This window comes from Homo sapiens, chromosome 18 (assembly GCF_000001405.40).
Source record: "Homo sapiens chromosome 18, GRCh38.p14 Primary Assembly".
In the NCBI taxonomy this organism is placed as follows: domain Eukaryota; kingdom Metazoa; phylum Chordata; class Mammalia; order Primates; family Hominidae; genus Homo; species Homo sapiens.
Window position 1 is genome coordinate 27,373,953 of NC_000018.10, and position 27,960 is coordinate 27,401,912.

The following is a 27,960-nucleotide window of genomic DNA, read 5'->3' on the forward strand; positions in this document are numbered from 1 at the left end:
TGCAATTTCTACCTAACAGTGTTTAGACTGGTCTGCTGCATGTCCTGTAGTGGCCTATATCTTTAAGCAAAAGTATCAATTATTTTTTTCTAAAACCTGATTCAGAACTCGTTGCCTCTAGGCAGCCTTTAAGGACTAATTTTTGGCATATGTTTTTTCCTTATTCTGAGTAGCACCTCAGAATTTAGTCATTTTCTGCTTTTCTAAGTCTTACCTGTTATTTGGCGGGAAACAGGCAGCAATCACATAGGTTCATCAGTAGTGTTTAAGACTAACCCCTCCGTCCACCACACAACTGCAAATACATGGAATATTTAATCACTAATAACTCCAAGGGACAATAGATAAGATAAACATATGGCAATCTGAATGTTCCTTCTGGGCAAAAATGTCTTGTCAGTTATATTGAGTCCATTACAGAACCTAAAAAGAAAGCATTTAATACATTTCTCATTCCCTCTACCAAGTTGAAGGCAATCCTGAGCTGGATCTTCAGAAATGGTTTCGTGGGAACATGAGGAAGGAGAAACACTTTGGTTCCTAGGGAGCAAAACCTTTGTAACCTGCCCTGAGAGAGAGAGCTCAAAGCATTGGCGGGGAATGCTTCCAGTTATCCATGAGTTCAGGCAGTAGCCACTGCTTTGGGTTCTCCCCAGGGCTGAGGTTTCAGTGCTTCTGAAGATGGCAGCAAAATATCTCAACCATTTGTAAAATAGGGCAGGCTCCTGCAGTTGAAAACTGATTCCGGTTAGAAGAATGATCACGTTAGAAAGCATGAACATGATGGGGAAGGCAGGCTGCCAGCATGCCCGTGGCCCATGCTACCCCCTCACCTCTGAGTGCCTCAGACATGTGAATGGAACTCGATGGGTTATTTTGTTAGACCTTTCCTTTGTGGTGTTTGGCTCTTTTTCTAGATTTATCAGAAGAGCATTTTCTTTAGCCAAGTGTTTGCAGGTCAATAACTACATAGCCTTATTGATCACATTCTGTTTTTCTCTCTATATATGATGAAAAACTCTTCATGGACTGTGTTTTCTTTGGTACGTTTTGCACAAAATGTCAATCTTTCTGCAATTCATGTATATAGAGAGTATATGTATTTTTTTCCCTTTTAAAATCTTTTCATAAGGTGTCAATTCTTCTGTGATCCACATAGACAAAGTAATACTCGATGGGTAATGGAAAACTAAGAAAGTGCAATCATAACACAGCTTAAAAAATGGGCACATAACATGGCATTCTTGGGCTATGCTGTTTACAGAAAAGTCAAAGATCCATATTGTAATCAAGTGTTTGACTTGAACCCATAGCCATAGAGATTGGAACTATATATAGTTCTATCAACCTCCATTCCAGTGACCATGGTAACATTTTGGGCTGAGAAAATGCCTTTGTTAAAGGTAGCCCCAAAAGAGCCAGCAGTTAGGTTGAAGTGTTCATTGTAGTGAGCCTGTGGCATGAAGGTCCTCCCCAGTAAACATCAGCCTGCAAACAGAATCACTAGTGCTTAGCAACAGTGTCATAGTGCCACTGGAATGGTGGTAGAAGGATCTCTTCACCCCTAGACTACCACGGCAGATTGGAACCCAGGAATCCGCAGAGAAAACATAAGATTTCTATCTAGAAAAAGGGAGCAAAAGAGAAAGGAAGGGAGTGGATAGGGCAGGACTGTGTACTTCAGGGGCCTGCAGTCTCTGCACCAGGACACCAGGAGACCTGACTCAGAGAAGAGACTAGAAACCAACAGAAAGAAACTAAACAGCTGTCTGGTAAGCCAGTGATTAGTAAGAAAGACATCTTCAAAATAAGTTGAGCATTATTTGTTAGTTATCCCTGAAATATAGCCTGGTCAGATACTAAGCTGCAGGGACATACATATCTCTTGGGAATTACCAAAAGGGAGAGAAGCATAGCCAATATCCATTCTTCCACCTTCTCCAGCAATAACTGGGTTTATCACGTCCTGTTCAGCACTGAGACTCTTTCTCTGCAGACACACCAGAAACACTGTGATCCTAGACTCCTGCTGGGGAATCCAAGGCAACTTCTAAAGAAACATCTGATTTACAACTCTTCAGCATGGGATGGCTATACAAATAAGGAGGTCTTCTAGCTGCTCTAGCCTGAGGGAATTGGATTTGGGAAAGAGAAATGACCAGTCAAGGCTTGGCAAGTCCTCTAGACCTGCGCAGGATCAGAGAGTGGATCTTTGGTGGCCTGAGAACATTTGCACCCACTTTAAAGTTGCTTGTGTTATATGCAGGCTAAATCAATACATGAAGAGTAGTACTGAGTTTAAGAAACAAAAGAATAGGCCCATGGGTATAGCTCAGGAAGAAACTTCCTTACCTGAAAGCCTGAATGGGTGAAAGAAAAATGAATGAAGCAGGAACAGAAAGGTGGAATTTGAGGCTTTGTGGCAACAGCTCACAGATATGATTTTGACAGACTCTCAGTTTTCAAACATAAGACTAAAAGAGGGAATAAAAGGCATGAGAGAGATGAAAGGGAAATGAACCAGAGTGCATGCACAGCCTTCTCTCGTTACCTCTACCAAATGAACCAGGAGAGGGGATAATGGAGGGCCTCCATTTAACCATCATGGGCAATGTTAACTTGGGCAGTCAGTGTTTACTGTAAAATATGTAACCAGTAACTGAAGTTGACGTTGACCTTGGCAGAGTTACTTAACTACCCTTTGTCAGTGAGACTCCTCCTTGAAGAAACCTCGCTTTTCCATCCAAAAAACTGCGCTCCTTTGATCCCCCAAATCCTCAGAATTTTGCGAAAAGATATTTTTGCATCTCAAAGGGCTATCTTTAATTAAACACATCAAACATATAAATATTCTAAAAAGGAAGTTACGGTATGGAACAAATTTTGGCAAATAGCTTTGTCACCACCTACTATACTGGTTCTTGACATTAATTCCACATATGTATTATATGCATACATATATGTGTGCATTCTCATTATAGAAAAAATTCTCAATTGTCTGTATATATTTTTAAATGTTAATTTTATAAAGAATTGAAAAGTCACAGCTCAAAGGGCAGGAATTACTTCAAAACAGTCTTTTTAATATGTGGAAAGAATTAGTCATATAAAAGAGTTCATCTCTACTATTATTATGTTGACTTTTTGTAAAAACATGATACTCTTGTAAGTTAGCTATGGAAACTATAACCTGAAGCAAAGTATTTCCTTAAAAGGATCAATTACAGGAAAGAGATCTTCCCATAAATTGTTAATTGACATTTTCTGTCAAATCACCTTTGCAAATGACCCCCAGGAGTATTAAATGTTGTGAAAACATCCTCACATTCAGAATCTGCCAACCTGCAGGTAGGGAGCTTCTTAGGAAAGTGGATAGAAACTAGTTACCAGGAGGTGGAAATACTTAGGTAGACACCCTTGCTGCAGGCTGACCAGGAGCCAGCATTCCACAAAATCAAACTCCAGCTTGAATTCATTGTTTTCAGCTAAGTTGCTGCCTTCAGGTTTTTGTGGTTTAACCCAAGGATTTTCTGAATCAGCCAGCCCCCGGACTGAGTACTTGCTGTGTATGGTGTACTCTTCTAGGTCTTTGGGAAATGAAGTAATATTTCCAACAGCTATAAAAAAATAAACAGGGTCAAGCAGGTACTAGTTAAGAAAGAGAATTTTATTTTTTTTTTCCTTAGGTCTTAAGGAATGTAGAAATTGAGGTTTTTCGTTTGTCATAGTGAAGAAAGATGACTTTTATAATATAGAAGCAGGTTAAGAACTAAGCAGAATGTATCTTAAAGTATTCCCCAAATGAAAATGATTTGTATCTAGTTATACATTCATCTCTGGGTCTCTCCATTTTCTTATCAATAGGCTTTAAATAAAAGTCTTATTTAAATATGTAGCCTCTTTTCAATTTTGCTACAAAAAGATATACTGGATGATAAAGAAGAAATGTCCCCACAGGCCAGGAAAGTGTTAATGGCAGGAAAAATGAGGGGTCCTCAAGGGAAAGGTGTAGTCAGAGGATTAGAGCTGGGGATAGAAGAGTCTATTTCCTCCTTCAGATGGAAAGTCTTTTTCCATGGCCAGCTTTCAAGGTTAGGGTTTGATTTTATTGGTTGTGGCAGTGTTTTCTTTTTTATGTTGATTTTATATAGTGTGAAGAACTGTGCTAGGTTCTTGGAACATAAAACAGATAAGACCTAGGCATTGCCCTAAGGGTGGTCAAGTTATCTTGATTAATTTGACTTTTTTTTATCAAGGAAATTTTGATTTGCAGGGCATTTGTCGCGTCATTGCGTCGAAATATAAAATGACTATTTTAAAATAGCAATAATATTCTTAATCACACCTTACCTAATTTCTACCCCTCTTCCCAATTCTTCTCCTCCTACTCACTGGGCAGTAATGGAGTGGAGCCAAAAGTAGGAAAAGAAGCGCTCATTTTTTAATTTTAAAAGCTTGAAATATAATGGCTAATTGTTGAGGCCATGTAAAACTAGCTGTTTCATTGTAACCACATCTAAATGGCTGCATGAAATTGTTTACAGGGAACTTCCTTGGCCTCCTGACTCACAGGTTTCAGTAGAAACACGAAGCTGTCAGCCAGGTCATCTGGGTTTTCCAGGAGAAATGATTCAGAGCTATGGTTTCCAGCGGGGGAGGTGCAGTACCATTGACTGTTTTTGCAAATACTTAATGTTGAAAAAGTTAATGATTGCATCTGCCTTAAACCTAGAGCAACCTTGGAGAAGAAAGGTTTCACCCACAATTTCTCTTGCTTGATTTGATCAGAATCTCAAATGAGACCAACAACTGATTTGTTGACTTGGTTGATAGTTCCTAAGGGTTACTTTTGGCCAAATAGCTCTGTGCACTTCTGATTTAGAAGCTAAACTAGATTTGATCCTCTTTTAAACTGTCACACCAAGGCATGCAGTTTGACTTGTGTGTTCATGCTTGACCACACACTGAATTGTAATCAACTACTCAGACAGTTCCTTTCAATGTAGTGAGATGTGATATCCCAAACTACTCATCTTCCCAGTGTAGAATTCTCCAAAGTATGTGCTACAGAACATTAGTGACCTGAGCTTTTAGAAGCTATTCTATGAAAGACAAGATTTTTTTGGTTAAATGAGTATGGAAAACCTTGGTCTAAACAATGTGAAATGGATTTATTTACTCCAGGATTTCTCAAAACTTCAAATAGCGAAGTGAGGGAAGTGAATTAGCTCTGAGTCCTAGCTCTACCTCTTTGTAATTTTTACCTTGAGCAAGTTATTTAATCTTTCCAAGGCTTAATATACTTATCTGTAAAATGAGGATACAAATATCTATGTCACAGAATTGGTCAGCGGATTAAATAAAATAAAATACCAAAAGTGATAATTTTTGCCATTTGTTTTCAGGTGTATTTTGTATCACTGTGTTTCTACATCATCATACAATTTAGGTTATGTTTTGGCATACCAAAGTGTAGATTCAGCTTTATTTTTAAAAATTTTATATTTTTTTATTTACTTTTAGAGAAAGGGTCTTGCTCTGTCACCCAGGTTGGCGTGCACTGGCATGATCATAGTTCATGATAACCTCGAACTCTTGAGCTCAAGTGATCCTCTCACCTCAGCCTCCTAAATATCTGGGTCTACAGGCAGGGTCTACAGGCATGTGTCCTCTCACCTCCAGCTATTCAGGAGGCTGGGGTGAGAGGATCACTTGAGCTCAGGAGTTCGAGGTTATAGTGAACTATGATCACGCCAGTGCACGCCAGCCTGGGTGGCAGAGAAAGACCCTTTCTCTAAAAGTAAGTAAGAATAAATAAAATTTTTTAAAAATTCTATTTAAAATCCAGTTCTAATTTTAATTTGCAAACAAAGCAGAGGTATTGCTGAGCATTTAAAATTCTACTTAATCACTCTTCTATTAGATGCCCCATTGGAAATCACACAGCAAATCTCTGGGAATTATCTGACCATTTAATGTCCATTTTTATGTGACCTTAGTATTATCCTATACTAGTCATTGATTTTTCTGTTGGAATTCTATAGACCTTTAAATGGCCTTCCACTAATGATGACAATGTGTTTTAAAATATTGGAAAGGTAAAGCAGTGCTTCCTACATATCATGCGTGCTCTCGCTGAGAAGCTGAATCTCATCAGAGGCCCTGATCTTTGTCTCATATTACACTGAGTTGAGTTGCCCAGATTACTATTCAAGAGCCATCAGGATGTCTGAACTCTGGGTTTCCAGCCATTTACCTTATTTATTGTCACATTATCCATCTTCATCAGGGTACAATAAACATCTCTGCAGTGGGCACTATCTTGAAAATAGTTCAAGTATTGGGTTCAGCCCAAGAAGAACTTGAGTAAATCATACCTTTTCTGCTCTTTAGAATCTTTCCAGCCTATTTCATAAGAGATCCCATTTCAGAGACAGAGAGGACTTTAGATATCCTTCAAATACTACTTTGTAAGCATGCCCTTTGGTAAGAAGAGAGAATTGTGACTACACATAAGAAACCTAGTGATACACTACTGTTCATCTCATAGCGTTCTCTCTCCCCCATGACTGCAAACAATAGGCATTACATTTTCAGTTATTATATGAAGATTCTGAAGAATGGTAGCATGTAAGTCCAATTCATTTTTCGTACATGACTGTATTAGATATGAAACCTAGGTAAGAGCTAAATAAACAGCGTTTGTTGTTTCCTATTTGGCATATATAATATCAAAGATGGGGTGTCTCATCCACCTGTGGGACAAGCAGGTTATAGTCAAGATTTTCAGGGAGGCTGTGGGCTCTGTGTGGCAGGATGATGGTCCCTTCTAAGTACCCAGTTCATGTCAGTCATAGTGTATTGAGGACACCACAAGTGCCTTCTATATGCCAAGCTCTAAAGAGTAGCACAAAGGACCTCTGTCCTCAAAAGTTTATTTTTAATACCAGGACATTCGAATGATGAAAGGCAAAAATAAGGCAACAGATAAACGCATGGTGCATCTGCAAACGCTGCAGGAGGTCAGAGGAGAAGAGATCCCAGTGGGCTGTAGACAAGCAAAATGACTTTCTCGGAAGAAAAAAGTCACTGGAAGCTTTGAACCAGAGTAAGATTGGATTGGCCAAAAAGAGAAGGAAAGGATTCCTGGAAGTAGGAAAGGAGTGGCAAAGAGCAGAGTGTGAAGAACCCAGTAAAACAATTGCTGTGAGTGAAGTGAATTAAGAAAATAGCAAACACTTTGGACAAGTAGCTTAGAGCAAGTTGAAGAAAAATTCTGAATCTATAATTTGGCTTTGATGGGTAGATTATGGGTGATATTCTAGGTTCTAGAAATGACTGTAGGAAAACAGAGCCTCAGGAAAATGGATTGGGTAGTTTTGTGCAGGAAAAGTTGGAAATGAAGAGTAAGGAGAGAGGTCACTGGGATGACCTAAGGGTGAGGTTACTGAAGACTTGGATGAGGGTCAAATGAGGTGGGTGGAGACGAGATAAACAGAGATACATTAAAAAGAATATCTTGCAATGCATGGATGATATCCTGAAATGCTTAGAAAGTGTAGTTAGTCAATGATGTGAAGAAAGTGTTATGTTTGAAATGTATGTGAAATGCTGTAAAAGTTATGGAGTTTAGAATTGTACTTGAGTTTGAATCCAAGCTTGCTTCTTAACAACCAACAGTGATCTCAGGAAAATTATTAAATTATTTATACTTAAATTTTCCCAAATCTAAAAGGAGAACAAAGTTGTTTATGTGAGGATTAAACAAACTAACACATAAAATGCCCAACACTAGTAGGCATTCAAAAAACATTAGGCCTTGTTTCTCTTAGGTAATCCTAAATCATGCCACAGGGAGCTAGAAACAAGAAACTGGAAATCAGGTTGAAGTTCAGTGGCTAGAAGTGAAGTTAACCACCATCTAAAAAGAGGCGGCAGTTTGAATCAGAAGTAAGGTCCACAACTGTGTTGAGGAAATAACTAAATAAGGAAAAGAAGAAAAGGTGCATAAGATTTAGAGAAAACTTAAGATGAGAAAAAAAAGAGAAGCACTACATAAAAAGATGAGCAGTACATAAGTGGTGTCTTTAGTATGTAATCACTCGGTAAAAACTAGCTGTTACTATTGTTGTTGTTATTATTGTTAGAGATGATCAAAGGTGTAAGAATGAACCCTGGCAAGAACAATGTCATGATCATAAACCAGTAAACTAAGAGGTGATCCTCTGTGTCCTAAGGTGCCAAGAGATTAGGATAGGATTGCAAAGCCATTTCATTCAAATGAAAGTAGTTGGTGACCAAAGTATTTGACCTTTGTAATTCTCATCTCTAGTGGAAACTCCATCTTAATTTAGGAACAAGACTATGTGATGCTCACATAACTACCTGAAATATGAATGATGCATGATTGGGTTAACCATCACCAAAAATACCTCTCCAGCTGATACCCAACCTGCCACAGAAAGAACAAAGAATCAGGGTCCTTAAAATAAATGCAACTGGCAAGCTTTTCTAACATAGAGAAAAATAGGAAACTATGAAATATCAAAAAATATAATTCCCTGTGATGATTTTTAATAAAGCCAAATGCCAAATATTGGCTTTCCCTTTTGTTGGAAAATGAATAAACAGTTTTGCAATGACCTGGAGGCTTGGATAGAGAGAATAAATAAGTTATTCACACATGAGGAGTAGACAATTCTCCATCCACTGTTGAGCTTTTCATTTTTTTGTGGAGCAGATGGTCTAAATAAAGCAGCCAAAAATAACAGGTGGGTTTTATTACATTAAGCCACTGAAAATACTAAGCATCTACAAGTTTAAATCATGTTCAAAATATTAAGCCTTAAAATAACTTTTTGAAAATAGTCTTTCATATTTGCAAGACACCTTTGTCCATCATCGATGATATCAAAGCACAGGGACCAAAGCATATATGAAAACATTTTTAGGGACAACAGGGGAAAGGCAGATAGGAAGGAACAGCTGCTCTTCATAGAAATGATTTTACATGGGGTTGTTAAACCATGTGGATACACACTAACTGAAATGGATAACATCACCTCTTCTGGGGCCAAAGCTTGAGTCTAAGTCATTGCTATCATAAGTCTGGTGGTTTCGCATGACCTACGCATCGTCATTCAACATATGAACAGCAACTACAAAGAACTCAAATACATTATTCCTCCTGTAATTTGTCAAACACCTAACTTTAATTAGAATTCAAACTTCATTCCAATAACACCTAACCTATATGCTATGTATGTGCCTTTTAATGTATATTTTCACAGTCAAGGAAGGAAAAAAAGTCTGAAAGGTGGGAAGAGATAAGAGAAAATACATTGCCTGGCTCCTCAATGGAAGAGATAGTGTAGCTAGCACTGTTCAGAGATTGTTGTTGTTGTTGTTTTTTGTATAGTATTCCTTATTAATTAAATACATTTATTAATTAAATAAATTACTATACATTTTGCATAGTATTCCTTATTAATTAAATACTAGTTTTAAAAATAAAAATCGTGTCTCCTTACCATCCTTCTCCAATCTCCCTCTTTCCTGGAATAACTACCATTAACATTTTCAAGAGTAACCTTCAGAATCTGAGCATGTACCTTGACAGTTGAAATGCTCAAACCATTAAGCCTACAATGAATTTTAAGAATCTTTTACATTTATAAAACATCTACATCCCTATTGAATAATTTAAAACCATAGGCACCTTCCTGGGTATGAAGCATGAATTATAAAAAATGGGATTATGTCTCTACTCAGTGTTTGAAACTTGCTTTGAAAAAATTTCAACATTGCTTCATGGATCACTTTTACATGTACATGGAGATCTACTTTATACATGCCCTTTCTTTAGGTATATCCTGTTGATTTGATTATTCTCCAAAGGATGGGTATTTGTTACCTTCAAATGTCACTAACATAAAGCTCCAATTAATACCCTTGCTTATATATGCTGTTACTTGTGCAATCACACAAGTATTTCTAAAGAACTTATTGCTAGAGGAAGGCTTGATAGATCAAAGATTTTGTGGATTTTCATTTCAATACCTCTTGGAATATCCATTTTCAAAACTTCCTTTACTTTCAATAAGTCATACTACATTTTTTCCTCTTTAAATCTAAAGTCCCTATTTATTTAGGAGACATCTATGCCTGTTATTCTTTCATCTCAGGCTGGCTGCATTTGAGAATCAATTAAGAATTATGTACTTTTGCTGATCATATATGGGTCAGGGAACAGGATCTGGTGAAAGATAAAACAGTTTAAACTGTAAGTCATGAGCTCAGATAAATATTGGCATTGTCACTGGGACATGGAAGTAGTAATAATTAGGAGTAATAGTGTATATTTCATTGATAAATCACTTGATGTATAAATATGCCTTTTGGGCTTTGATTGCCAAAAAATCTATCTTATGTAAGCTCAGTATGAATACAGATGCTTGCAAAAGAAAATATAGGGGGTGGGTATGTGGTGGTGGTATGGGTTAAGAGATAATTTCTGCCTGACATAAAAAAGGAAAGGTGTGACAAGTTGTTATTATGGTAGTTGGAATGAGCCTATATATACAAGAATAAACACAGGAATGAGAAAAATAAAGAAATCGATCCTTTAAGAAGATCCTGAAGAATTGGAAATAAGAGCACCTTCTGATATGCAGAATACAGAGGTGTTAACTAGCTATGAGTGTCAAGGAGCTACCTCAGGTCTTGTCTCCCAAGAATCAAATTATATTACATGAAAATAGACAGTGGAATTGTGGTAGAGGCAGACTAGAACTAGAAAGCACAGCAAGTAAGGTCTGAGCAGGGCCAGCCTCACAGCAGGAGACATGAGAAGGAGAATCTGGAACTCAGAAGATCTGGAACTTGGAAGATTCTTCAGTTGCTTAATGCAATAGTCCGGTGCATCTGGACTCTGAGGAGTGACTGCAATGTGATTTCTTTTATATAGGTTTTAGACTCAGTGGAGCAAACACAGATAGGGCAAATAGAACTGTCCCCAAATAGTGAGCTATTGAAGCCAAGAAAGGTCACATCACTCATTTCTACCGAGGAAAGAAAAGCCAGACCTGGAGCACACTCCTTTGACTCATTGAACTTATTTCCCTTTAGCTGGGATCTCACTGTCCAGACCCACAGAATACCTCCTTTTTGTAAGTAATATTAGCACTGAAGCTAGAGGATATTAAGCATTGTTGGCTTATGTTTTCCTAGTGTAGACTGAGTATTTTGTGGTTTTGCAGATACATATACAGATACACACTTGTACATGTGTATCCCAATTTAAAGCTATACAGAAAATTAACTGAGGAACGGACTATGGGGTCGTTGATCTTCCTTCTCATCAAACTTGCATCCCACCAACTTCGGGCCTGCTGCAGCTAATTATTCTTGGTGAGTCAAGGTGACTGAGTTTCCAAGAGTTATTTTGGTCCATATGGAGTACTGTTTTATTATTCCCATGTTTACACTTTCTCCAAGTGTTCAAGAAAATGATTGGTCCTTCTGTGACTGACTTGTTTCACTAGCATGTCTTCCAGATTCATCCATGTTGTCATATATGACAGGAATTCCTTTCTTATTAAGGCCACATAACAACCCATTGTATGTGTGTATCTCATTTCATGTGAGCTAAAATAATTCAACTCATAGAAGCAGAAAGTAGAATGATATGTGCCAGGGGCTGATGGGAGGGAAAGATGGAGAATTGCTCAAGAGGTGTAAAGTTTCAGATATCCAAGATGAATAAGTTCTAGAGGTTTGCTGAACAATCTTGAAGTATACTTCACCATACTGCATCATGGCCTTAAAAATTTTGTTCAGAGGATAGATCCCATGTTAAATATATTTACTGTAAAGAAAAAACCCCAACAATAACAACAACAAAAATAACCCAGGGGCATGAGAAAACTTTTGGAGGTGATGGATTCATTTATTAGCTTGATTGTGTTAATGGAAACGGTTGTATTCATATGTCCAAACTCATCACATTATATATATAAAATATGTGCAGTTTTTCGTATATCAATTGTATCTTGATAAAACTGTCAATCAATCAATCAGTCATTCGATCTGTCCCTATTTACATATTTAAAAGAAAAGAAAAGATAAGGAAAGCCAATGGTAGTTAGGAAGGCAGGGATTAAGAAAAACACTGAAAAATTTAAAGGCAAATATTCTCCCCATATCATTGTCTACTCTGCGTATGTCCATAATTACCTGCTCACCACTGGCAGGCTGGCACTGGTTTCTAATCAACTGTTTTTGTGTGTTGACTTTTTTGTGTGTGCTTCACGCTCCCTGTCCCCCTAGTGCCAGAGTCTGTACAGCAAATCTGTGCTTTCCCATTGCTGCTCCAAGATCAACCTTTCTTCTTTTCATACTATAATGCTTTAGAACCTTAAAATCCTTGCTTATGTCAATCATTACTCTCACTGTAGCTTCCTGTCTTCTGTCCTTCCCTTCCTCCTTTTTTCCATTCATGGTGGTTAAACACATGCACTCTAGAGTAAGATAGCATTTGTTCAATATTGGCTATATCTATTAAACAGTAGTGTAATTTTGGTTATTTACCTTTCTGAGGCTCAGTTTCCTTATCACGAAGATCAAGAGGAGTAAATAAGTTGTTCATTTTGTGTGAGAATTAAAATGTGATAATGCATATCAAGTGATTGGCATAGCGTCTGGTACCAGTCTGCAGTAACAAGAATAATAACCTATTAGCCATATTGTTTATTATTCTTGTTAGTATTAAGCACCTTCTATTTTCTAGACACTGTGTAAGGTACTGAAAATACAAAGTTAGCTTATTATTTAAATAAACTATGGTCCCTTGAGAAATTTATAATCTGGTCAATGTTTCCAGCTAGACTTTATTTATTTATTTATTGAGACAGATTCTCGCTCTCTCGCCAGACTGAATTGCAGTGGCATGATCTCGGCTCACTGCAACCTCCGACTCCCTAGTTCAAGTGATTCTCCTGCCTCAGCCTCTTGAATGACTGAGATTACAGCCGCGTGCCACCATGCCCAGCTAATTTTTCTATTTTTAGTGGAGACAGGGTTTCACCATATTATCCAGGAGGGTCTCAATCTCCTGTCCTTGTGATCTGCCTGCCTCGGCCTCCCAAAGTGCTGGGATTACAAGCGTGAGCCACCGTGCCCAGACAACTTTATTCTTATTGCTGGTGCAAACACCTGGCGAGGTTTCTAGCTACCTTTAATAAAAGTTTGAACAGAACTAGAACCTCCAAAGTGTGTTGCTCATATTTTAACTCTATAATAAAAGTTTATTTTATAAAGAGTGCAACATAGCAAAACCAGCCCGGTCTTTTGGACATACGGTCAAGCTCCTGACTCTATTTCTCTTCTTGTGTGAGCAGAGAAAAAGCTCTTTATAACCATATTTATTGTGTTTTATCCTGTAGCCATACCTCTGGTATCAGGACAAATGATTTTATCCTCTTCTACCCCAAATTTTCTCGGGCAGAGGTAGTTGGAAGAATTGGAAAAATGATCCCGTGTTCTTAGTTCCTACAATCAGTCTGTTCTAAGCATTTGATCTCTCCCAGGGAAAGGAAGCCACTCCTACTGAGAACTAATAGAGAAAAAAAGGTTTTTACCTCCAATGAAACAAGGAAGTTTTCACAACTTCAAACTATAAGCACACCTACCAAATACTGCAACAAATATTCCTGTATCACAGAAGCATTCAACCTGTTAGGTTTCAATGAAAAGATCTCTGAAAAGATCTCTGAAAAGATCTCAGGGTAGATGTAAGATTTCAAAGAAGAAATTATAAGACAAAGGATGAAGAAAAAAATGGTTTGGCATGATCCAGAGGAAATATAAGAGAAAACTAAACCATGATAAAGATAAAAGTCATATTAGGAAAAAAAAATGATCCATGGAAACAACAATGATTGCTTGGAAGTTGATATGTATGAAAGAAAAAGAGATCCTGTCTATACGTAACTGGTGTCTCTGAAGAAGAGTATGGAAAAAATGGAGCAATTAAAATTATAAAGCAATATCACAGGTGAAATGTCACAGAAATGAGAACAAACTCAAATCTGCAAATTGAAAGTGCACCCTGAAAAATTGACACAGAATCATCTGAGACATTTTGTGAAACTGGACTTCAACAATGCAGAAAAACATAACATGAATGCTATGGACTGAATGTGTCCCTTCTGAAATGTACACGCTGAAATCCTAATCCCCAATGTGATGGTATTAGGAGGTGGGTCTTTTGGGAAGTAATTAGGTCATGGAGCTGGAGCCCTATGAATGGGATTAGTACCCTTATAAAAAGACAAGGGGCCGGGGAGAGGACACACAAGTGGGCACTTCCTTTATCTCTCTCTGCTCTCCCTCATGAGAAGGTACAGAGGTAAGAAGACCATCAACAACCAGGAAATGTGCCCTCACTAGATACCCACCAGGATCCACTGGTGTCATAATCTTGGACTTTTTATACTCCAGATGGTGAGAAATAAATCTCTGCTGTTTAAGTCAACCATTGTGTGGTATTTTTGCTACAGCAGCATAAACTGACTAAGACAATGAGCATGAGACAAGAAAGGCAAATAGTGTACAAATGGGAAAATTCGGTTGGCTACAGATGTCTTTAAGGCAACATTCAATTCCTGAAGACAGCAGACAATATCTGAAAAGTCCTGAATGAGTGGCCCAGTAGTTTATGCCATCTTCTCTTCAAACAAAACACAAGAGACATTTCCATGAAGTCAGCAACTTTGTTAACAACTTAGGGACCAAAGCACTCTTTAGTAGAATGGATACCAGTCAGACAAGAGATAAAGCATAATAAAAACTCAATTATGAGCCAGACATGGTGGCTCACACCTGTAATTCCAGCACTTTGGTAGGCCAAGGCAGGACAGCTTGAGCCCAGGAGTTTGAGACCAGCATGGGCAACATGACGAGACTCTGTTCTTACAATTTTTTTTTTTTTAATTAGCCAGGCATGGTGGTGTGTGCCTTTAGTCCTAGCTACTTAAAAGGCTGAGGCTGGAGGATGGGTTGAACCCAGGAGTTCAAGGCTGCAGTGAGCCATTGTCGCATCACTGCTTTCCAGCCTGGGTGACTGAGTGAGACCCTGTCTCAAAATAAAAACCAAAAACTTACATATGGAGAAGACATGGTAAAAAGACTGGCTGTAAATAGTGAATCAATTTAAGCACCAAATTATGGTTTCAAATCAAAAATAAAAATAGATACAATTTAAAACAGAAAAGTAATTTTGTATAAATCCTTTTATATTAAAATGTAAAGATTTTTAAGGGATTGAATAACTCTTGAAGAAACCATTATTTCGGTTTTACTTAGTTTCTTTTTCTTTATTTGAATTCCACAATTTTTATTTTAAACAGCAAATATAGTATGATAATACTTTACATAATTTTTTTCATTTTAGGTTCTGGAGTATATGTGCAGGTTTGTTACATGGGTAAATTGCATGTCACTGAGGCTTGATGGATGAATGATTCCATTACCAAAGTAGTGAGCATAGTACCTGAAAGGTAATCTTCAAACCCATGTTTCCTCCCACCCCCTACACTCAAGCAGTAGGGGGATCTATTATTCTCATCTTTATGTGTATTCTTGTTTATCTCCCACTTATAAGTGAGAATATGTGGTTTTCGGTTTTCTGTTCCTGCATGAGTTTGTTTAGGATAATGGCCTCCAGCTGCACCCATGTTGCTGCAAAGGACATGATTTCATTATCTTTATGGCTGCATAGTATTCCATGGTGTGTATATACCACATTTTCTTTATCCAGTCCATGTTGATGGGCATCTTAGTTGATTTCATGTGTTTGCTATTGTGAATAGCATTGTGATGAACATACAAGTGCAAGTGTCTTTTTGGTAGACTGATTTATGTATATAACCAGTAACGGGATTGCTGGGTCGAATGGTAGTTTTGTTTTATGTTCTTTGAGAAATTATACTGCTTTCCACAGTGGCTGAACTAATTTACATTCCCACCAGCCATGCATAAGTGTTTCATCATCTCTGTTACCTTGCCAGTATCTCACCAGCAACTTAATAATAGCCATTCTTACTGGGGTTAAATGGTATCTCATTGTGGCTTTTATGTACATTTCTCTAATAATTAATAGTGATGAGAATTTTTCATATATTTGTGGGTCACATGTATGTCTTGTTTTGAAAAGTGTCTGTTCACATCCTTTGCCCATTTTTAACGGGTTATTTGTTTTTTGCTTGCTGATTTAAGTTCCTTATAGATTCTGGATATTGGACCTTTGTTGTATATATAGTTTGTAAAAATTTTCTCTCATTCTGTAGGTTGTCTGTTTACTCTTGATAGTTTCTTTTGCTTTGCAGAAGCTCTTTAGTTTAATTAGATCTCATTTGTCAATTTCTGTTTTTTTTTTGTTGTTGTTGTTGTTTTTGAGTCAGAGTCTCGCTCTGTCGCCCAGGCTGGAGTACAGTGGAGCAATCTCGGCTCACTGCAAGCTCTGCCTCCTGGGTTCACGCCATTCTCCTGCCTCAGCCTCCCGAGTAGCAAGGTCTATAGGCGCCCACCACCACGCCTGGCTAATTTTTTTGTGTTTTTAGTAGAGATGGAGTTTCACCGTGTTAGCCAGGATGGTCTCGATCTCCTGACCTCGTGATCTGCCCGCCTCTGCTTCCCAAAGTGGTGGGATTACAGGCGTGAGCCACCGTGCCCGACCAATTTCTGTTTTTGTTGCAATTGCTTTTCGGGACTTAGTCATAAATTTTTGCCAAGGCTGATATCCTGAATGGTGTTTCCTAGGTTTTCTTCTAGAGTTTTGATAGTTTTCAGTTTTACGTTTAAGTCATTAATCAATCTTGAATTAATTTTTCTATATGGTGAAAAGAATGGGCCTAGTTTCAGTCTTCCCTGTATGGATAGCCAGTTATCTCAGCATCATTTATTGAACAGAGTCCTTTCCTTATTGTTTGTTATTGTCAAGTTTGTAGAAGATCAGGTGGTTATAGGTGTGTGGCATTATTTTTGAGATCTCTATCTTGTTCCATTGGTCTATGTGTCTGCTTTTGCACCAGTACCATGCTGTTTTGGATAATACTTTTTGCTCCATTTCCTACTGATCTCTCTGTAAGGAGGTGTAGGAAATGGTGCTCAGCAAATAATAACTAGAGTAATGTGGAGGTGGTGAAAATTCGTATGGTTTAAAGAACATGTTTTCTTTATACTTTTTGAACTGCTTGGCTTTTTCTAAACAAGCAACTATTAATTTTACACAAAAAGGCATTTACTTAGCTTCAATTCTAATAACGTAGGAGAAGAAATGTGAATGGAAAGGAAATAAAGCAGTAACTACTCTTTCTGAAATATCATAACTCAATCAGTGAGTTCAAAATCAGTTTAGAGGCTGGTCACAGAATCATACTATTCTGTCTACATTTGTATATATTTAATATTTTCCTTAAGACAAATTTTTAAAACACTTAGTTTGTAAGTTATTGAATAAAAGACCAAACTTTGGCATACATATAGTCCAAGAACATCTTAATATTGTGCCCAAGTTTCACTGTGAAAATAAAATGTCCTTCCTTTCTTTTGTCTAGTTTGGCTGTTTCTCATATTAATGACAAAAATATTAGAGTCAATCAGGGATGAAAATTATTACTTCTGTAGCTTTTCATTTACAGAGGTGAATTTGTATATAAATTTTTTAGTCAGGAAAAACTGAGTTACACAACCTTTCTTTATAGTTCTCATCTTAAAAAATTGTTTTTCATTTGATTTAAAACCAGACTAATTCAATGACAAAGTAACAAGGCAAGTAAAATTATGACAGATGAGGCTGGGCAGGCAGATGAATTTTGATGTGATATTTGAAGCTAAAACCATGTTATAAAACTCATGTGATTCTATTTGTTTTAGTGGAATTACTAAGCATTTATTCGCCTCTCATGAGCAAAGTGTTTCATTACTGTATTACAGAATTTTTGTAATGTCCAACAACCTTTTGTGTGCCAAGAGAAAGAGAGAGGGAGGGAGAGTTGAATAAAAATTTAAAAACAGCAAACAAAATATTTGTCTCTCTTTTACAAAACCATTTAAAATTCATTGAGTCCCCTTTATTAGCTAACCCAGTGTCACAAACAAAATACAAGGGAGAAGACCGTAATGTAACTTTCTGAGGTCATGTAATGATCAGATTCGTGAAATGCTGAAATAGGAACTTTACTCTCCTGACTCTTCTTCCTTGTAGTCAAGCAATGAAAGGAAAGAATGTTTGAAGTGACAACTTATGACCTTATTGGGACTCTGAGTGGTATAGTAAACGTGATTTTAGGGCAGAGAATAGAAAATATTCTATCTGCTATTTTCTTCAAAAGGTTTTAAGAAGTGCTTACCAAGTCCCTGCACTACCTAGGAAATGACACTAATACATTTAAGCAGATACAACTCCAGTTTTTCCAGAGCAAAGGTTTTTAACTTGGAGACCATGGATCTGTTGAACCAAGAATAAGTTTCAGAGGGTCTATGAAACTTTTACATTTCTATGTTTCTATATATATGACTTATAGAGGAGAGGATCAGAAGTTAAGAGCAAATGCTCTAGAAGTTATGTATCTGAATAATATTACAAGAAGCAAAGAATTTTTAAAATTACATTAAATATTAATTTTTTTTGGAAATAGCATCCCATAAAATGTTGGGCTCACAGGAAACCTCCGAATACTAAAACAGAACTTGTTCTATACGTTTTGTAAACCTACAAACTAGATTCTCCCAACCAAGAACACTCAGAAACCTGACCTGATTACAACATACCTCAAAAATCCCAAGTGTACGTATATCTTCTGGGCTGGTGAACATGGCCTCCAACTCTTCAAGTTTTATGCACAGTAGTAGAGGCTAGAAGAGGAAGCTCAATTTGAATCCCAGGCAAGTCTTTCCAAATTCCCTCACAAACAAAATGCAGTTAGCATTTACAGAATAGAACAGTGCTATTGCATTCTTTTGGAATTTTAGTAAACTATTGTATGAGCCATGATACTTTTTACTTCTTCTCTTATGAGACTTATCTGAGAGGCCAAGAAAAAAATAACGTGTGTTATCAACATTACTTAAAACTCTATAAGTCAACTTTATGGGTTGCAGGTATGAAGGGAGGGTTACAAAGCCCACCAGCTACAGCTTTTCATATATCTCAGTAGAACATCTCTTGGGTCATATCTAAGAGCATATTAATTTTCTAGTTCTTTTCAAAGTAGTATATCACTGAGTAATGGTCTTCTGTTGGCCCTTGTATTATTTAATAAATACTTCGTCTGTTCTTGTGATGTTGACACGTCAGAGTTTCAAACCTAACTGGAAGAATGTTAGGTTGGAGGAATAATAAACTAGATCACCTTTGGAGCCAAAAACTGACGTGATCATGACAAGAAAACATAAAGTTACAGTTTAGTGTTTTTGGAAACATTGAACTCTATACTTCCATTTTTGTTCCTCAAGTACCAAAAGGCATTTATTATGTTCTCTAATTGTTTGCTGCTCATATATGATGGAGTATTAAGCATAAAAATGGCACATCTCTTTTTTTTTCCAAATTATACATGATTTGGTAGAAATGGGAGGGAAAAGAAAGGAACAGGTTAGTTATGTTCTTCCCTATCCCTATGTCTCTTGTCTTTCCAAGTGCAAGAATATTGTCTTTCCAATTCCTTCCATTAAGTATGCCACTTTTGGATTCTGTATTTGTTCTGTCTTTCTAAAGAGTAGCTGACATGCTACTATTTTCATTATCATCTAGAAATATAGGAGACATTCTTCACTGAGAAAAATTCTCAGCTGAAAACCTATGAAGTAAGTTAAAACCACAGTTCTTCTAGACAAAGACGTGACTACAACAGCAATTGACTTAACTGGCAATATTCTAAGCCAAAGAATATGATTAATTACTTTTCTCTATTGTTTTCCACCTTTTAACAGGTGTTACTATAAATTTGGAAACAATAGGATTCCAACAGCTCATGAATTGTTCAATGTTAATGCTGTCCATGAAATATTGTGTCCTGCTTTCTACAAGCAGTGAACGTGTTTGCTTTCTTTTAACACTCTAAAATTTATTAGCATATAGATTATGATGTGAAACACACTCATCATTCCACCAAGTTGCTCTAACCAATGTGCCTAGAAGACCAGCATTATTAAGTCACTCCATATATCTTGGTGACTGAATGGTTGATCTTTCTCATCCCATTGACTAATGAGGAGACACTCGAAGTGATCTCTAAATTGGTATGCAACATGCTCTTGATTTATAGCAGCACCAAAACTTTATACTTATGAGTTCTATGCCGCAGAGGTACCTGTAACTATAACATTTCTTCCAGCGAAAATAACTATGGCACATTGACAAGTCAGCAGAATCTCTTGTCCTCAACTCTTCTTTTTCTCCCCGCTTTCCTTCAACCTTTCAACTATTACCCAAAGTCCAATGGGACCACATTTTGATATTTTTATTTTGAAAGCATTGTAATTCTAAGCTTTTAAGAATTATCTTTATCACTAGTAGATAAAGTCCAGATAAAGTCACATGGGGTGATTGTGGTATAATGGTGGCATTGACAATACCTGTTTGCAAAACACATTTCAGTTAATAAGGTTTTATCACAAGCCTAATTATCTCAGTATTACCAATAATCAGACTGGATCTCTAGGAGATTAATTGACATGAGCTATGTCATGCTGGACTGATTGGCAGATCCATGATTTGGGCTAGTTCTTTGAGGTCTAGTTAGGTGCTCTTTCTACTACATCATATTGTGACTATACAGCCATTTTGTTCCCAAAAGCAACATTTTCAACAAGGAAAGAGGATTTTATAAAGGCCTACATAAGGAGACAATGACAGGATATGATTTGAGCACTGCTATGTGACAGCGTGACAGAAAAACTCACTCATCTTTAAATCCCTCTTCAACTAGACTATAACAAATGTCTAACATTTTAACATTAGTAATACATTCCCTCGAGCAAAGACTTATTTTTCACACATACCCCTGTTAAAATGCAAATATTCCAAAAAGGCAAAAATTCAAGTGACGAAGAGAGTCCATTTGTTACATTTATTTTTAATGCTAGGTGGGAAGAAATTGAACACAGGCAGGTGAGTATTGAGTTTAGGAAGATTTGCTATAAATGTGTCCTGCTAAGGAGGGCAGTTCTGAGCATTTTGTGACAATAGGGTTTTTTTCTGGATTAAGTCTTGGCAACATTACAGTGCTAATGTAGGCCTCGAGTGTTTTTTTATTACTGTTTATTAGTCTTGAGTGTTTGTGTTAGTGTTTCTTAAGACACTAAAAAGAAGCCAGATTTTCCTAGCAACAGAGTCCAAGGGAAAAAGAAGAAAAAAATAATAAAAAGGAGTCAGAAACATTGTGAAATTATTTATTTGGCATGCTGTTTAGTGACCACTTTTAACCACCTCCTTTTTCAATTATTCTTTTCATATTTTCTTGGGAAATTCTACTGCTCAAGGTAGAAGGTAGACAATGGGGACACTGAAAGGAAACTATAGGCTTGGTGTATTACTCAGGGTTTTCCAGAGAAACAGAACAAATAAGATATAGATAGATAGATAGATAGATAGATAGATAGATAGATAGACAGACAGATAGAGAATTGGCTCACCAGAAATTGTGGGGGATGAGAAATCCTAGCATCTGCTGTCTGCAAGTTAGAAAACCAGAAAGCTGGCGATGCAATTCAATCCCACTCTGAAAGCCTAAGAAAGGGGTGGGGGAACTGCTGGTATAAGTCCCAGACTCTGAAGGCGCCAGAACTAGGAGCTCCCATGTCCAAGGGCAGGAGAAGATGGATGTTCAAGTTCAAGAAGAGAGAGAGAGAATTCACCATTCCTCCTCTTTATGCTCAGGTCCTCAGTGGATTGGATGATGCCTGCACACATTGGTGAGGGTGGATCTTCTTGACTCTGGCTATGATTCAAATGCTAATCTCTTTGCATAAACATATTTAGAAATAATGTCTTACCATCTCTCTAGGCATCCCTTACTCAGTCAAGTTGAAACATAAAATTAATCATCACACTTGGGGTCTGGAATAAGGTGGAGGAAGCAAGACTAAAGAAAGTCTGTTGAGATCTCTCTGAGATGGAATTATCACATCACCAATGCCTAGTCTTTTGAGTTATAGACATCTTTATATATTTGATAAAAGCAATCACTCCTCTCTCCAGAAGAATGTATATAACATGGCACAAAATTTTACATAGAATTTTGAAAGAATCATGAGCTACCTGAACACCAAACATAGACTACTAAGAGACCTATGGAACTTACATATTAAAATTTGCACCAGAGGCCATGACTCATAAATATAGGCACATCAATCTTTTTATTATTGTAGCCTCAGTGCCAAATATCATGTCTGAGCACATGGAAGGTACTCAACAACTAATTTCTAAATAAATAGACTTCAATAGTAGTAGGCACCAGTAAGAAAAGAATAAATGACTGCTATATACAAACACATGTGTTAATCTTAAGAAAAAATAATGCGGTTGGGAGACAATTGTCCTTGGATATCTCAGGGTGTATGCATGACCTAGGCATTCTGAGTAAAGGAGATGTTTTGGCAAACATGCCCTAGAAGCTAGAGATGGCGTCTCCCTAAAGATACAAACCCATAGAGACATGCAAATTAATAAAGTCTCTTTCCTCTCTTTCAGATACATTTGTTCACATTACAGGTTAGTAATCTTATCTTCTTCTTCTTTCCCAGAAGATATGTTTAAATTGCAGAGTAAAAGCCTTTCTCTCTGGGAAGGAGAGTGACAGGTGTGCCAGCCAGTATATGTAAGTTGCAAGTCTCATAATTTGGGGTTCCTCCCTTGTGATGCAAGCCCATTGCATATGTAGGTAAGCATCTGGCTGTCACTGCATCAGCTTGTGGGGATTGGAGAACAGGAAACTGCTGCTGAGATGCTGCTTTGGCTACTCTTTTCCTATAAGTAATAAACAGTCTGTGTCTCTTACATAGAGCTTTGTTTTCTTTTGTCAGCACAGGTATATAAAACTATGACAAACTAATTTGTTATATCACACATGGAGGTAATCACAGTTCTGTTATAGTTTCAGACCACATGAAGGAAACCAGACATTAATGGAGAAAACTTTGTATGATTTCTCTTACATTCAGGAAAAAGCAAAACTAATCCTCAGTGATAGAAATCAGAGTTGTGTTTTTCTCTGGGGTATACGAACTGAAAAGAGAAAGGAAGAAGTCTTCTGGAGTGTTTAAAATGATCTATATATTGCTTTAGATGGTGGTTACATGAATATAAATATTCAATTATCACCTAAGATTTGTGTAGTGTACTGCATGTATGCTATACCTCAATAAAATATTGCATAATAGAAAGGCCTATAGAAAAATGCCCTTTAAATTTCAGCAAGAAGTTAAGCTTAAGAAGAGAGCATATGTCTCCAAAAGCTTTTTATGAGGTACCTGACCCAACTTCTCTGACGTATTTTCACTGTTACATAGCATCAGAGTGTGCCATACATCACCTAGTTAATTATTCCTGCGGCCAGAGCTGGGAAATTTGGAAGGCTTGTATAATGGCTAATTTTATGTGTTGACATGGCTAGGCCATGGGTTGCCCAGATATTTGAAAAGATCAAACATTATTTGGGTGTTTCTGTGGGATGTTTCTGGGTGAGATTAACATTTAAGTTGATGGACTTTGAGTAAAGCAGAAAACCCTCTGTAATGTGGTGGGCCTCATCCAATCAGCCAAAGGCCTGAATCAAACAAAAAGATTAGCTTCCCTTGAGCAAGAGAGAATTCAGCAGACTGCCTTCAGCCTTCGTCGGCAACATCAGCAATTCCTGATTCTATAGCAGATGGCCTCAGACTCGAACTGGAATATCAGCATCAGCTCTCCTGAGTCTCTAGCCTGCCATCCTACATCCTGCAGATTCCAGACTTGCTGGCCTCCATAGTAATGTGAGCCAATGTTTTATAATAAATATTTTTATACACGCTCCCATACACAAAGATGATTCCTGACTTACAATGATTTGACTTATGATTTTTTGACTTTACAATGATACAAAAGACATACGAATTCAGTAGAAACTATGCTTTGAATACCCATAGGACCATTCTGTTTTTCACTTTCAGTACAGTATTCAATAAATTATATAAGATATTCAACACTTTATTATATGATAGGTTTTGTGTTAGTTTTGCCCAACTTCAGGTTAATGGAAGTGTTTTGAGCACATTTAAGGTAGGCTAGGCTAAGATATGATGTCTGTTAAGTTAGGTGTATTAAATGCGTTTTTGTCTTATGATGGGTTTATCAGGATATTACCCCATTATAAGTCAAAGAACATCTGTGTATACACACACACACAAACACACACACACTTTCTACATATATATGTATGTGTACATACATACATACACACACACACACTTGTACCCCCACACACATGCATCCTATTGGTTGTGTTCTCTTGAGAACTCTAATAGAGCTTATCACTCTCAAAAGTTCAATATCACCATTGCTTTTACTAATTATACAGCCCTGTCTGTCCTGTCTGATTGTCTTCAAATATGGCAGAAAACCACATCTCAATCCTTACTATATTCCGCCTAAAGTCCATTCCTTCCTTCTGATTAATCCTCTCTACTTCTGCTTGGTTTTTACTGAAATAACAGGTGTGCATAGACAAAATCACGAAACCATATTGAGAATATCATGTGATTGGGAACTCAGAAGGGCCAAAACCTGGGATGTCATCAAAAATCAATCAAAATTTTCTAGAAATCAATATTGCAACAGTATCTTTTTTTTTTTTTTTTTTTTTTTTGAGACGGAGTCTTGCTTTGTTGCCCAGGCTGGAGTGCAGTGGCATGATCTTGGCTCACTGCAACCTCTGCCTTCCAGGTTCAAGCAATTTTTTCTGCCTCAGCCTCCTGAGTAGCTGGGATTACAGGCACCTGCCACCATGCCCAGCTAGTTTTTGTATCTTTTAGTAGAGATGGGGTTTTGCCATGTTGGCCAGGCTGGTCTTGAACTCCTGACTTCAGGTGATCCACCTGTCTCAGCCTCCCAAAGTGCTGGGATTACAGGCGTAAGCCACCGTGCCTGCCTGTAATAGTATCTTTAAACTAGTCTGCTCCTCAGTTTTCCCCTCTCCTTTCTGCATTTTGCTGTATTCTTCATTATATTCTTGCTAAATATGCTACCTCCATTGAACATATGACAAGATATAGCATTATTCAATAGCGGATGAGGATTGGAACATATAATTCTGGCTTCCTGATTATCATGACTCTTTTATATCCATTTACCTAATGTCTTTAGAAAGTATAGTACATAGAATACATTTATTTTAGTTGAGTTTTATATCCAGTAACAGCTATTAAATTTTACATTTAATCCTAACTGGACTAGTTCAAAATTCATAAGACTAAACACATTTCTCAGTTTTTGCTTTTTTCTCTTAGTCGATTTTATAAAGCTATATAAGACCAACATTCACATAAAAGACAACTTTTACCAACTATTGTGTTTTCTGGCTCCTAAGTTAATTGTACTAATACATATTTTAAAAGAAATTTGTCAATCAGATAAATGTCTTTTTAGATAAAAATATAAGAGCGGCAGTGATGGCTGCTGACATTTATTGGAATATGCACAAATGTCTCACCATAGCTTGTTAAATAACTATTTTCCTGCTGAAAATATGTTTAACTTTTACCAACTTAGCAAAAGTGGATCTGATAGCAATTCTCAGAGCAGGTCTCTAATTTGGTAAATAGCCCACAGAGGTATTTTATTTACATGTTTCAAATCCTTTTTCAAAAAGTAAGGTCTACGTCAATAAAATGGAGGGATAATTTTTACACACACACACACACACACACACACACACACACACACACACTCTCAGACTTTATCTCTAAGAAGAATATGGTGGCCATGAGAATGCATTTCACAAATCACAGAGCATAATTTTCTGATGGCTTTCACTTCTGTATTCTGAAGTTTATCTCCACATTCTGACTGAGGCTATGGCTTCCACCGGCTGCACCCAGCCTGTGCCTGATCGCATCAGGGATGCTAAAGCAGGCCCATTCCTGATACATGTAGAACTCCTTTGACGATGACTTTGGCTCAAGACCTCCCCCTAGGGAACTTCCCTTTGAACTACACGGCAGGCTAGGGGCTTCCACCTGGAGCATCCTCACCCCCGTCTCTCCTCTCAGGATGAGACCTCCGCCACCGCGGTCTAATGGCTTTCCAGGTCTCCCCGGTATCCCTCTCCATTTTCTCTCCCTGGTATCTTCCATAATAGGTCATTTGCATGTTTAATTCTTGATATCTGATTCTCAAAGGACAAAAACTAACAAATACAGAGTTATATTTTATTATTGAAACAGTTTCTTGAGATAAAGACTATGTTTTTAATGACGTCTATATAGAGAAAGAATACACTAAAGGATAACAGAGAAAGGGAAATAGAAAAAAGAAGATGGTACTCAAAGGGCTGGCAGAGAAACAACATCAAAGAGAGGAGAAAGATAGAAGAGGTAAAAGCCAGAGGCTCCCAAAAAGGGAGGTGGAGACAGATAGTAAAAAAGAAATAGCATCAGATGATGAATACAATGGAAAGAAAATCTGACTCCATGTTCCCAAACTTGGCAATGCTGTCAGCTTCTTGCTTATCCTTCACCCCAGGGTGCTGGATATCCTTCACCCCAGGGTGCTGGAGGTGAAGGAGATGGAAAAGTTACCGAAGAGAACAGAAACTCATCTAACATCATCTTTCATCTCTAGTCATTCTTCATGTGGTTCATCCTTCTCAGTCTGAATAACAAAGTTTCTCTAGAAGCACCAGTGTCTACAATTTCAGATTTTAAAAGGCAAAATTTGCAGCTTTTTTTTAGTTCTTGTAAACATCTAGCATATTTTATAATTTAGATATCTATTTAAAAAGACTGGTCCTGTTTAAAATGCAGGATTGATAAATTAAGGGACATTTTCCCTCATCTTAAAACACTTAGCCAATCTTAGTCAATTCGGACTGCTAAAACAGAAGGCCATAGACTGGGTGGCTTAAACAACATTTATTTTTCACAGTTCTGGAAGCTGGGAAGTCTAAGATCAAGGCATCAGCAGATCCAGTTTCTGGTGAGGGCTCTCTTTCTAGTTTAAAGGCGATGATCTTGTATCCTCATATGGCAAAGAGAGATCATTTCTCTCTTGCTCCTTCTTATAAGGGCCCCAATACCATTCATGAGGCTCCACCATCATGACCGAATTACCTTCCAAAGGCATTACCTTCCAATACCATCATAATAGGAATTAGAATTTCAACTCAATTTTGGAATGACACAAACATTTAGTTCATAAGAGTAGCCAAGATGTTCTTTCATTTAATCTTGTTCCTTTCTTTTATTCCTTTATCTCCTGTTGCTTAAAGGAATCATCATTTTTCTTTTCTAGGTGTCAACAATTTTGGCATTGCAGAAGACCATGGAGACAACTTTTTTATTTCTCCATCACACAAGGACTGAAGATACAAAAATGAGTTTTTCTTTCCTATGGCCTTGGACTAGCTATATACGATAGTAATTAGCAAGCAGGCTCTGAATTACACGAGCCCCTCCCACTGACTCTTGTACTTTTTAGCTATAAGAACCTAAGCACGAACTTCGCAGAGCTCCAGTGCTTCTGTTTTGAAAAGAGATAATATTTCCTATGGGATAGGGTTGTCTGGGGGTACTAAATGAGAACTACATACAAAGTACTTAATGGAAGGTATGTAGGACTCAATAGAGGTAGCTATTAAATTGTATGTAAGTAACAAATCCTGATAATGTTCAATTCTGAATAAAACTTAGCAAGGTAGTTTTATT

At 37.3% G+C, this 27,960-nt stretch overlaps 1 long non-coding RNA gene across 3 annotated transcripts; it reads left to right on the forward strand.

Annotated features, from left to right (window-relative positions):
• The first annotated feature begins 1,554 nt into the window (after positions 1-1,554).
• Positions 1,555-27,952, forward strand: LOC105372041 (uncharacterized). 3 transcript variants are annotated; one of them, NR_188024.1, is made up of 4 exons: positions 1,555-1,772; positions 11,259-11,409; positions 22,754-22,774; positions 27,548-27,952. It is a non-coding gene; the product is annotated as an uncharacterized LOC105372041 (long non-coding RNA). The 3 variants fall into 3 exon arrangements; NR_188026.1 differs by lacking the exon at positions 22,754-22,774 and adding an exon at positions 22,807-22,880; NR_188025.1 differs by lacking the exon at positions 22,754-22,774.
• Positions 27,953-27,960: the final 8 nt, after the last annotated feature.